This window comes from Homo sapiens, chromosome 13 (assembly GCF_000001405.40).
Source record: "Homo sapiens chromosome 13, GRCh38.p14 Primary Assembly".
NCBI classification, from domain to species: Eukaryota; Metazoa; Chordata; class Mammalia; order Primates; family Hominidae; genus Homo; species Homo sapiens.
Genome location: NC_000013.11, coordinates 79560215 through 79573423, shown reverse-complemented (window position 1 = coordinate 79573423; position 13209 = coordinate 79560215). Strand labels below are relative to the sequence as shown.

Below are 13209 nucleotides of genomic sequence, written 5' to 3'. Positions count from 1 at the left end.
GAAAAGCATCTAAGGAACAATATCCAACCGTATCCAATGAAAACCCAACACCTCAATTTGACTTGGCCAATTTGCCCAACTTATATGAACATAGATCGGAACTCAAAGACACCCTGCCATCAGTCATAATCTTGGCTCTTTCTGTTGGAGAAACAATTGCAGTTTGTGCTCAGCACAGGCAGCTGAAAATTCTGAACTAAATTGGACCAGCCTCACTCAGGCTGTCAGCATCCAGCATTTCAAAGCAGTTTAATCCAGTCTCTCCACATTGTTTCTTTACCTATCTCCTCTGCCGGTTTCCACAGCCAGGTGACCTAAGCCAACGCAGCACATTAGTCCTTCCTTATAGAAAAACCTGATGGGAAAGAATAATGTCTACAACTTGTCCACTCATTTCTACTTGTAGTACTGCCAAATATGGGGGTTTGTTTCACTTTTGTTTTGCTCTAAATGTCCACAAATGGTTGGGCTATTCCTGGGCCTCCTCTAGTTCTATAATTCAATCTGTTAAGAGACCTAACACAGGAGGCAGCAATGAAAGATGAATCAAACCTCCCGTGAAATTCAGCTTGACTATCAGAGCCCTTGAGCTGACCAAGAGCCATGATTAGAATCTTCATTCTTCTGGCTACTGTTGAAAGCACTGACATCATATTCCATCCAGTGTCGTACAGGCCACGATTTACCACTGCCAGACAAGGAACATGCTCATCCTGCTATTTTCCTGAATAAGGCTACCATTAACATCTTTATATATTTTTTCTTCTGTTGAATTTTTTCCATGTGTTAAATTCCCATAAAGGAGATTGCAAAAATGATTACAAATGATAATTATGACAATTGTATAAAAATAGAATTTAAGATAAAACATTTAAGAAAAACAGAATGCAAGTTTACCTGAATAAATAACAATAACTGTGCGTGTGGTCAAGGGCCTGGAAGGAACATGCCAAAATGAACATTATACCAAGATAATGGGGTTATAAATAGTTTCCTTTTTCTTTAGAAAATTTATAAAATGATGTTAAATTTTGCTGGAATTTTTTAAAAGACCACTGAAGTTTTCTAATTAGAGGAGCACTTTAGTTTCTCATTGAAATGATTACTCTGATTCTGTAAAGAGCATATGGAAAAAGAATGACTTTTTTTTAGCGCATTATAGCTTTTTAATGACAAACTGTACTTGCATTGTTTGCTGGAGGTTTCAATATTTGAAAAGTCTCGAAGGAACAATAACAGTAAAAAAAAGAAACAGTACCCTTTTTTATTGTACTACTCTTCCTCATAAATATGCATATTCGGGGGGTTGTAATATCAGCTGATCTACTAATTAAACATAGATGAATAGTAATTTTTTATAGTTTAGTTCTTGTTTATTCAGATTTTAATTTAATTTACATTTTGTATATAAATTCCAGAGGAAAGATAAACAATAAGAAAGAAATAAAATGGGGATGGGGTTTAGTGGCTATTCTTTGTGTGGACAAGTGAATAAAACATTTTCTGTATTTGTAAAATTATCTTAAAAGACAGCTAAGAGCCATTAATACATGCTAGTTGCCTACTTTAAATCAAAATAGAACAGACCCCAATCCTTTCTTTCTTTGTTTCCAAGTATCATTATATGTCAGTTTATCTCTACACCTCAACAATTAGGTACGTTCTAGCACTTCATCAAGAGCTTTTGTTTTACATCAAAGACTTCCACATAGGCAAAAGCAGATACTGTTAAAAAACAAAAACAAACAAACAAACTAAACAATGTGCCTAATTCATTTCCCTCAGAAATCACAGCACAAAAATGCTGTGGACTGCTGTTTTGAGTCCTGTATTTTTTTATTTTTTATTTTTACTTTTTAAAAGTTTTTTTGGCTGATGAGTTTACTCTGTGTGTGTGTGTGTGTGTGTGTTCCCTCTGGTAAGATTCAATAGGGGAAAGTATAAGGAAAGGGAGGTTAGAAGAAAAAAGGCATTGAAGTTCTCTATCAACTTGTATTTGCCAATCTGGAAGGGAGTTTTACAAACAGGTCACTCATTAAAAGTTTATAGGATGAATTCAGGAAGGCTGATCCTGAGAACAACAGTGAAGGTTTTATAGAGCATTCTGGGTGGGCATAAGCATTGAGCAGAATCCAACGCCTACAGAAACCATTTTTTTTTTTAGATATTCATCTAGCCACTCAGTAAGCATTCAGTTAGTGCTTACCCTTAAGTAAACACATGTAATCTCTGTTTCTTCTTCTTAGGAATCAAGAGAAGAAAAACTTGGTGACACAATAATTAATGAAGTCATTTCTCCCTCATACCCCTTCTGCAGATGTGTGAATGCTGATGAATGCCAGACCTAGGGGATGGGGGGATGTAAAATAAGGAGTTAGTAGTGCTTTTTTTTCTTAAGAATGTCATCTTTTTCTATTTTAAAAAATGTTCAAAATTTACCCAAAACTCTGTGTAAAAATCAACAACAATGTACACTAGAGATAAAAATGTTTAAGACTTTTAAAACATTTTAAAATTTTACTAACATGGGCAACTAACATATCTACTTAGAAAAATACAAAAATCTTCTCCAGTAAAAGCTACAAATACTTCTACTTCTCTTGCTTTGTTTTCCAGATATTTCTAGAAAAAATTACAAGTATACAGGTCTCATCCTGTCCGGACACTTTTCACCTCATCACTGAAGGTCACTGAAGGTCACTACTTCATGGTTCTCTGGATGATCTTGCTTCCTTTCTTTCATTCTCCTTCCAATCTCTCATCATGAGGGCTCTTTTTATGTGTTCAGCACAGCATCAAGTTCAAAGCATAATAATCACAAGGTTGTACCTGCTTCTCTCTAGTAACATTCTTCAAAGACACTGAAACAAATAAATAACAAATGATTGTAATCAGCTGTATTTTTTTTTCTCCAATCTAAATCACCTGTGGTCAGGTACAGTGGCTCAAGCCTATAATCCCAACACTTTGGGAGGCCAAGGCAGGAGGATTGCTTCAGGCTGGGAGTTCAAGACCCCATCTCTACAAAAATTAATTAGCCAGGCGTGGTGGTGAACATCTATAGTCCTAGCAGCTCAGGAGGCTGAGGCAGGAGGATTCCTTGAGCCCAGGAATTGGAGGCTGCAGTGAGCTATGATTGCACCACTGCACTCCAGACTGGGTGATAAAACAAGACACTGTCTCCTCTCCTCCGCTATCCCCCCAAAAAATTTTAACAGTCACATGAGCATTTATGGATTTTTTTCCTGGTTTTAGATTTTTAGTAACTGCAAAACTGAAATCCTTGTTATGATGAGTAATTTCTGTAAAATCTGATCATTTCATATTTTAAGACTCTGAATGTTACTTAAACATTGTTTTTGCTGGTTTTCTCTAGCAAAGGAAGGGAGTTATTGCTTCAGTTACTACCTAATGGAGGTATAAGTCCCTGTTGTCAACTCAGCCTACTTTGATGCCTGAGAATGGGCACTCCTCATTACTGCTGGGGAGGGAAGGGCATTTCAGCTCCTTCAGTGGTCTCCACCCACACCAAAGAGGAGTTTATTTTGTTACTGCTGGGCATTGAGGAAGGTCCTGATTCCCCACTAGGCAGCCTCTGATACCTTATTTGGTCTTCTCACTCCAGCTGGGGGTGTAGGGTGCCTGTGACAACCTGGCAAGTGTGGAAGTCTAGGCTTCCCATTTCATTGGTGGAGGTATGGGTGGGACCAAAATTTTTCCTGTGTTATTGGTTGCAGTAGAGTAGCTATTGTCTAGAAGTTTTCCATCTGCTAGTCTGTCCCTTTCCTGGTCCTTTGCATAGAGAGGCCAGAGTTTTGCAGGGGGCCTTTTGTGTCTGTGCCCTTTGATATTTCTGGGCTGCTGGCTTCTTCAGTTCCATGTCTGGGATAACTCAGAAAACTCACGGAACTTCACCTGTGTTGTTTCTCATATCATAAGGCTCCCAGCCAATGTACTGCCTTCTCTCCACCTTTTGATGTCTTCCAGTGTTCATTTTTACATAATGTCCTGGGTCTTTAGTTGTACTTAGTGGGAAATAGGAAAAGTGTATCTACTTCATCCTCCTAGAAGCAGAAGTTCTCAGTTACTATCTTTTAACCTGTGTATACCTAAAACAAATGCTAAAGAAACTATCATTACTAGAGGTCCATATTTTAAAACTCCATTTAACTTCAAGCCCAAATATGTTGTTTTTCAGTCAGTTCTCACCAAATATGTGAAAGGTCATCCTAGGCAGGGCGGATCCTTCAGTTTGGTCATGTTTCTGGGACCAAAAAGTGTACTAAAGATACCAATAATTTTCTGCCCATTTCTACACAAGAATATGTTCCTACCAAGGCTCCGAATAAAAGCAGATATGACCCTGCTCTTTGCCCAGTGCCAGATGGCATTATGGATGAACACCACTGACCAAAGGAGTTGGAGGGTTTCTGGGAGAGAGGTACAGTGGATTCTATCTCCTGTGAATTTGAGGTTGGGACTTGAGAGACTTCATAAGTTTGTTTCTGTCAAGTTCATGCAGTCAGGTCAATAAAGGGCTGAGCCAGGCATTTGGAGGTGACTGTGATGAGCCAGGTACAAGTGGAATAAACTGAAGAAACCAACCTACAGAAGGAAAAAGAAGAAAGCAGACACCCAGAGAGCAGAAGAAATAAGAAACTCTGGAGTTCCAGAGAGTGTTTGTATGAATGTGTTTCTGACTTGGCTCCTCATCACTATTCAATTGCTAGTTCCATGTTCTTGTGCATCCAGGCTACATGCCCTGCCCTTGGGTTTCACGAGTCAGATACCCCTATAACCTTCCAATAGCTTGCTTATGTTTCCAATATGTGCAAAAGCTTCTCAGCCTTTGCACGGAGGATCTCTACGTAACATTCTGGGTGAGCATGGGCCTTTGATCTTGCTGCTGCACCTCTCCATATGGAGACTGTTTCTCATAATGGCTGTAGAGAGTCACTCCCTCCTAGTTTTCCTCATCTCTTCCTTTGCCCCACTTTCTCTATTGTTCTTCAACATAATTACGGAATTTTGAGAAATATTACATTGTTTCTGGGAAACAAAGACCAAAGGGAAATATAACTTGACAAGACTTGCCAAAAGGCCATCAGAGAAGATAAGCCAAAACCAGAAATAATCATAACACATGGTAGAAAACAAAGCATTTTACAAAAGAAGATCCAATAGACAGGTATGGAAGTTCAGAGGAGAGAGACACTCACTCAGATCTCCTCCTGCTTCACTAATCTGGAAGTCATGTTACTGCCAGCGTCAAGGACCCATTAGTATATGTCTGGCATAAATAATATAGACTGTAAACAGACACTGTGGAATTTACTGACTATTGGGCATCCTAAATCCAAATGACTGTGCAGACATTATAAGATCAATAAATTGATTGTATTGGTTCAAGTGGTAAAATTATCGGAAGGGACAGTGGGCTATTTTTGAGGGGATAACTTCTTAATTTCTTCTGAGCCTTCTACTGGCAAGCCAGGTGGTATCTGTTTGATGATCTTGGAAAAGAAAAAAAAATCCTTATCTAAAGGACTTCAAATATAAGAGTACAGATAGTCTTGTATTTGATTCATTTATATTGAAGGTGGCTAATGGGGCATCTAGCCAACAGCAGATCTAATGGGATGTATACTGTGAGTCACTAAGGATTCCAATACAGCACCCTTCTTTCCCACCTGAGATATGCATAAATAATTAAACAAAGCAGTGGCACATAGACAACCAAAATATTAACTTTGCTACTGATAAAAGTAGATTGGAAAAAATAGGTTAACTAGATGAACTCCAGAATTGGGCCCCCTTGTACCCTACCCAGGAAGTGGTGGACTGTGAGCCACTTCCCTGGGTGGGGGTACAGCAGAGCCGACCCTGAAGAACAGAGCATAGCAGCAACTCCTGTGAACTGTGAGCTCCCCAAAGGAAGAAGAAGTTGAGCAGAGCATATTCAGGTATTTACATCTCAAATTTACCCATCAAATAAATGACTCCCCTGGGGAAGAACTAATAAAGAGGTGGAGGAAAGTCAGGAGTTAGACTATCACATTCCCTCCACATGGAAGGAAACATCAAAAGTAAGAGGCGAACTTTTTCCCTCCCCACTTCCCAACAGTGTACTAAATCTAAAAAATAAAAATTAAAATTAACCTCTAGTTCACAGACAGGTAAGATATTAGCATTATGAAAAATGAGAAACATTTTGCTAGAATTCGAAGACCCAGAGATTTGACAATGCATATGAATGGCTAAAGTTAACATACTCATATTACAAGTAGGTTTTTTTCAATTCTCTTCCAGATTTTTCTTTTCCAGAGACAGTGTCTCTGTCACCCAGGCTGGAGTGCAGTGGCATGATCAGCACTCACTACAGCCTTGAACTCTTGGTCTTCTGCCAAGAGTTCAAGGTGAACTCCCGCCTTGGCCTCTCAAAGCCCTGGGATCACAGATGTGAGCACTGCACCAGACCTCTTCCAGATTTTTTAATATTTGAGCTTTACTCCTGACTTCAGGCAATGATACAAGAAAATGGTGAGAGGGAGGAGGGGAGAAGGAAGAAAGGCCAAGAAGGCAGTAGGAACAAAAGAAGAAAAGAGTTAACACCTACTGCTAGCAAATAGGTGTAAGTAGTCCCAGACTTTTTCTATGCATCTCAACTGCATTCTGCGGAGTTAAGAGAAGGTCGAATTCAGAATCTGGAACCTGAACAAGCAAGAGGTGTGTCTCTCTGTAGGACTTCTTTACATTTTTTTTTTAATTTTTAAGTTTAGGGGTACATGTGCAGGATGTGCAGCTTTGTTACATAGGTAAACGTGTCATAGGGGTTTGTTGTACAGATTATTTCATCACCCATGTATTAAGCCTAGTATCCACTAGTTATTTTTCCTGGTCCTCTCCCTCCTCCTACCCTCCACCCTCTCTTCGGCCACTGTGTGTTGTTCCCTCTATATGTTCATGTGTTCTCATAATTTAGTTCCCACTTATAAATGAGAACATGTGGTATGTGGTTTTCTGTTCCTGTGTTAAGTTTGCTAAGAATTATGGCCTCCAGCTCCATCTATGTCCCTACAAAGGACATGATCCTGTTCTTTTTTATGGCTGCATAGTATTCCATGGTGTATATATGTACCACATTTTCATTATGCAGCTTACCTTTAATGTTCAGAATTTAGGTTGATTCCATGTCTTTGCTATTGTGAATAGTGCTGCAATGAACATACATGTGCATGTGTCTTTATAATAGAGTGATGTGGGGTATATACTCAGTAACGGATTGCTAAGTCAAATGGTATTTCTGTTTCTAGACAATTCTTTGAGGAATCGTCAGGCTGTCTTCCACAATAGTTGAACTAATCTACACTCCCACCAACAGTGTAAAAGCATTCCTTTTTCTCCACAACCTCACCAACATCTGTTTTTTTTTTTAATTTTATAGTCAAAATAATAGCCATTCTGACTGGTGTGAGATGGTATCTCATTGTGGTTTTGATTTGCATTTCTCTAATAATCAGTAATGTTGAGCTTTTCTTCATATGATTGTTGGCCACATGTATGATTGCTGGCAGCATGAGAAGTGCCTGTTCATGTCCTTTGCCCACTTTTTAATTGGGTTGTTTTTGGCTTGTAAATTTAAGTTCCTTATAGATGCTGCATAGTTTGCAAAGTTTTCTTCCATTCTGTAGGTTGTCCATTTACTCTGCTGATAGTTTATTTGGCTGTGTAGAAGCTCTTTAGTTTAATTAGATACCATCTGTCAATTTTTGCTTCTGTTGCAATTGCTTTTGGCATCTTGCAATTGTTTTTGGCATCTTCGTTATGAAATCTTTCCCTGTGCCTATGTCCTGAACAGTATTAACTAGGTTTTCTTTTAGGGTTTTTATAGTTTTTAGTTTTACAGTTAGGTCTTTAATCCATCTTGAGTTGATTTTGTTATATGGTGGAAGAACGAGGTCCTGTTTCAATTTTCTGCATATGGTTAGACAGTTATCTCAGCACCATTTATTAAATATAGGGAACCCTTTCCCCATTGTCTGTTTTTGTCAGGTTTCTCAAAGATCAGATAGTTGTAGGTGTTTAATCTTATTTCCGAGTTCTCTATTCTGTTCCATTGGTCTATGTGTCTGTTCTTGTACCAGTACCATGCTGTTTTGGTTACTGTAGCCCTAAAGCATAGTTTGAAGTCAGGTAGCATGATGCCTCCAGCTTCGTTCTTTTTGCTTAGGATTGCTTTGGCTATTCAGGCTTTTTTTGGTCCCATATAAATTTTAAAAAGTTTTTTCTAGTTCTATGAAGAATGTCAGTGGTAGTTTAATGGGAATAGCATTGAATCTATAAATTGCTTTGGGCAGTATGGCCATTTTCACAATATTGATTCTTCCTATCCATGGCATGGAATGTTTTTCCATTTGTTTGTGTCATCTCTGATTTCTTTGAGCAGTGGTTTGTAGTTCACCTTGTAGAGGTCCTTCACTTCCCTTGTTAACTGACTTCCTAGGTATTTTCTTTCTGTGGGAATGATGAATGGGAGCTCATTCATGATTTGGCTCTCGGCTTAACTGTTGTTGGTGTATAGAAATGCTAGTGATTTTTGCACATTGATTTTGTATCCTGAGACTTTGCTAAAGTTGTTTATCAGCTTAAGAAGCTTTTGGGCTGACACCATGGGGTTTTCTAGATATAAGATCATGTCATCTGCAAGCAGGGATAGTTTCATTTCCTCTCTTCCTATCTGAATATACTTTATTTTTTTCTCTTGCCTGGTTGCCCTGGCCAATGCTATGTTGAATAGGAGTGATAAGAGAGGTCATCCTTGTCTTCAAGGATGTCAGTTTTCAAGGGGAATGCTTCCAACTTTTGCCCATTCAGTATGATATTGGCTGTGGGTTTGTCATATAATGGCTCTTATTATTTTGAGGTATGTTCCTTCAATAACTAGTTTATTGAGAGTTTTTAACATGAAGGGATGTTGAATTTTATCAAAAGCCTTTTCTGCATCTATTGAGATAATCATGTAGTTTTTGTCTTTAGTACTGTTTATGGGATAAATCACATTTATTGTTTTGTGTATGCTGAACCCACCCTCCATCCCAGAAATGAAGCCTACCTCATTGTGGTGGATAAGCTTTTTGACATGCTGCTGGATTTGGTTTACCAGTATTTTGTTGAGGATTTTTGCATTGATGTTCATCAGAGATACTGGCCTGAAGTTTTCTTTTTTGTTGTTGTACCTCTGCACAGTTTTGATATCAGGATGATGCTGGTCTCATAGAATGAGTTAGGGAGGAGTCCTTCCTTTTCAATTTTTTAGAATAGTTTCAGTAGGAATGGTACCAGCTCTTCTTTGGACATTTGGTAGAATTTAGTGTGAATCCATCTGGTCTTGGGCCTTTTTTGATTGGTAGGCTATTTATTACTGCCTCAATTTCAGAATGCATTATTGGTTTATTTAGGGATTACATTTCTTCCTGATTCAGTCTTGAGAGAGTGAATGTACCCAGGAATTTATCCATTTCTTCTGGATTTTTCTAGTTTATATGCATAGAGGTGTTTCTAATATTCTCTGATGATTGTTAGTATTTCTGTGGAGCCAGTAGTAATCATTTCTGATTGTGTTTATTTGAATCTTCTTTCTTCTTTATTAGTCTGGCTAGCAGTCTATCTATTTTATTAATTTTTTCAAAAAAAGTTCCTGGATTCATTGATCTTTTGAATTTTTTTGTTTTTTCTGTCTCTCTCCCCTTCAGTTCAGCTCTGATTTTGGTTATTTCTTGTGTTCTACTAGCTTTGGAATTTGTTTGCTCTTGGTTCTTCAGTTCTTTCAGTTGTGACGCTGTTAACTTGAGATCTTTCTAGCTTTTTGATGTGGGCATTTACTGCTATAAATTTCCCTCTTAACACTGCCTTAGATGTGTCCCAGAGATTCTGGTATGTTTTATCTTTGTTCTCATTAGTTTCAAAGAACTTCTTGATTTCTGCCTTATTTTCATTATTTATCCAAGAGTCATTCAGGAGCAGGTTGTTCAGTTTCCATTTAGTTTCATGGTTTTTAGTGAGCTTCCTAATCTTGAGTTCTAATTTGATTGTGCTGTGGTCTGACAGACTGTGTGTTATGATTCAGTTCTTATGCATTTGCTGAGGAGTGTTTTACTTCTGATGTGATCAGTTTTAGAGTACATGATGTGTGGTGATGAGAAGAATGTATATTCTGTTGTTTTAGGGTGAAGAGTTTTGTACATATCTATCAGGTCCACTTGATCCACAGCTGAGTTCAAGTCCTGAATATCTTTGTGAATTTTCTATCTCTTCTAATATTGTCAGTGGGGTGTTAAAGTTTCTCATTATTATTGTGTGGGAGTCTAAGTCTCTTTGTAGGTCTCTAAGAACTTGCTTTATGAGTCTGGGTGCTCCTGTATTGGGTGCACATATATTTAGGATAGTTAATTCTTCTTGTTGAATTGATCTCTTTACCATTATGTAATGCCCTTGTCTTTTTTCATCTTTGTTGATTTAAAGTCTATTTTGTCAGAAGCTAGGATTGCAACCCCTGCTTGTTTTCCATTTGTTGTTAAATTTTCCTCCATCCCTTTGAGTCTGTGTGTGTCTTTGCACATGAGATGACTCTCCTGAAGACAGCATAACTTGGGTCTTGGTTCTTTATCCAGCTTGCTACTCTGTGTCTTTTAATTGGGGCATTTAGCCCATTTACATTTAAGGTTAGTGTGTGGATTTCATCTTGTCATCATGATGCTAACTATAAGGTTATTTTGTAAACTTGTTTATGTTGTTGCTTTATAGTGTCACTGGTCTGTGTACCTCAGTGTGTTTTTATAGTGTCTGGTAACAGTTTTTCCTATCCATATTTAGTGCTTCCTACAGGAGCCCTTGTAAAGTAGGTGTGGTGGTAACAAATTCTTTCAGCATATGCTTGTCTGAAAAGGATCTTCTCTTTCATTTATGAAGCTAAGTTTGGCTGGATATGAAATTCTGGGTTGGGGTTTCTTTTCTTTAAGAATGTTGAATATTGGCCTCTAATCTCTTCTGATTTGTAGAATTTCCACTGAGAGGTTGGCTGTTAGTCTGATGGGCTTCCCTTTGTAGGTGACCTGGCCTTTCTCTCTGGCTGTTCTTAATGTTTTCTCTCATTTTGACCTTGGAGAATTTAAAGATTATGTGTCCTGGGGATGATCTTCTCATTGAGTATCTTACTGGGGTTCTCTGCATTTTCTGAATTTGAATAGTGATCAGTCTAGCTAGGTTGGGAAAGTTCTCCTGGACAATACCCTGAAATATGTTTCCCAAATTGGTTCCATTCTCTTCATCTCTTTCAGGTACCCTAATCAGTTGTAGATTCAGTCTCCTTACATAGTCCCATATTTCACTGAAGTTTTGTTCATTCCTTTACATTCTTTTTTCTCTATTCTTGTCTGCCTGTCTTATTTCAGAAAGTCTTCCAGCTCTGAAATTCTTTCCTCCACTTGGTGTCTTCTGGTATTAATACCTGTGATTGAATTGTGCAGTTCTTGTAATGTGTTTTTCAGCTCTATCAGGTTGGTTATGTTCTGTATACTATTTTGGCTGTCAGTTCCTGCATTGTTTTATCATTATTTTTAGCTTCCTTGCATTGGGTTACAACGTGCTCCGCTAGCTCAGTGAAGTTTGTTTTTATCCACATTCTGAAGTCTACTTCTGTCATTTCAGCCATCTCAACCTCAGCCCAGTTCTGAACCCTTGTTGGAGAGGTGTTGCTGTTATTTAGAAGAGGGCATTCTGGCTTTTTGAACTTTTAGCGGTTTTGCACTGATTCTTTCTCATATTTGTGGGCTTATCTACCTTCAATCTTTGAGGCTGCTGACCTTTGAATGGGATTTTTGGTTTTTTTATGTGTTTTTTTTTTTTTCTTTTAACAGTCTGGACACTTTTCCATAGGGCTGCTGTGGTTTGCTGGGGGATCCACTCCAGACCCTAGTTGACTCAGACTTTCCAGTACTTGGAGGTATTACCAGTGAATTACCTGGAGGTATTACCAGTGAATTACCTGGAGGTATTACCAGTGAATTACCTGGAGGTATTACCAGTGAAGGCTGTGATTCAGCAAAGATGGCAGCCTGCCCCTTCCTCTAGGAGCTCCATCCCAGCGGGGCACAAACCTGTTGCCAGCCTGAACACACCTGTAGGACGTGGCTGGAGGACTTGGCTGAGGTCCCACTCAATGCAGAAGAATGGATCAGGTCCCACTTAAAGAAGCAGTTTGGCCACATTTTGCTAGAGCAGCTGTGCTGTGCTGGGGGATCCCTTCCACACCCAGTCTGTTTGGACTCTCCAAAGCCTGCAGGCTAAAATGGCTGAGTCATCCAAATAGCAAAGATGGTGGCCTGCTCCTCCCCCAAGAAGCTCTGTCCTGTCTCAGGTAAGTGCTACACTGTTGCCAGTGGCTGGCTGGAATTCCAAGCCAGTCAGTCTTTTCTTGTGAGGTACCATGGGAGTGGGACCCACAGACCAACACTGCTCAGCCCCCTGGATTCAGCCCCCTTCCTAGGGGTATGTACGGACCTCCTGCTTTGCCTGAGTTGCAGTCACCTTTGTCAGGAATCTCAGATCCCAAGTATGTAAAGCTCTTGGATCTCTGTGCGTGCCTGAGTAGCTGTTTTGTTGAGACTCGATGCAGCTCTATGTGTCAGACCCAAGGCCCTGGTGAAATGGGTTCATGAAGGGATCTCCTGATCTGAGGGTTGCAAAGATCCATGGGAAAAGCATGGGTTCCTGAGGTTGCACACTCACTCACTGTTTCCCTGGGCCAGGGATTGGGGATCTCTTGATTTCATGTCACTCCTGAGTGGGCCATCACTCTATCTTGCTTTTCTCCATTCTCCATGGGTGGAGCCATTTCCCTGATCAGTCCCAATGCGCGTACTTGGATGTTTCAGTTAATGGTGCTGTATGTACTCACCCCTTTCACTCCCTTCTGTGAGAATCACACATTGTAGCTGCTTCTGGTCAGCCATCTTGCCTCACTCCTGCCATATTTTCTTTAACTCTTCTCTAAAAACCCAACATTATGTATTTGGGAGCTGTACTACCATAAAAGGGAGTGCTGATTTCACCCAGCCATTCTGATTTGTTTTTCCAAGCAGATATTTGAAAATGGCACCAGCTTTCCCAGCCAGGAAGGTGGCCAAAAAAAGAAAAAAGGGAAGGGAAGGG

The 13209-nt window shown here is 39.3% G+C and overlaps 1 long non-coding RNA gene across 1 annotated transcript, besides 1 other annotated feature; it reads right to left on the bottom strand.

The window, feature by feature from the left end:
• Positions 1 to 1977: 1977 nt before the first annotated feature.
• Positions 1978 to 6697, bottom strand: LINC01068 (long intergenic non-protein coding RNA 1068). Its single transcript, NR_125772.1, has 3 exons — positions 6617 to 6697; positions 2674 to 2861; positions 1978 to 2344 (listed from the first exon to the last, which is right to left on the bottom strand). It is a non-coding gene; the product is annotated as a long intergenic non-protein coding RNA 1068 (long non-coding RNA).
• Positions 11674 to 12873: an enhancer, noted in NCBI's record as "MED14-independent group 3 enhancer chr13:80134686-80135885 (GRCh37/hg19 assembly coordinates)". NCBI's record gives its function as "activates an origin of replication core promoter dependent on BRD2, BRD4, P300/CBP and CDK7 cofactors, and independent of MED14, by STARR-seq in HCT116 cells {active_cell/tissue: HCT116}" and the evidence as "EXISTENCE:reporter gene assay evidence [ECO:0000049][PMID:35650434]".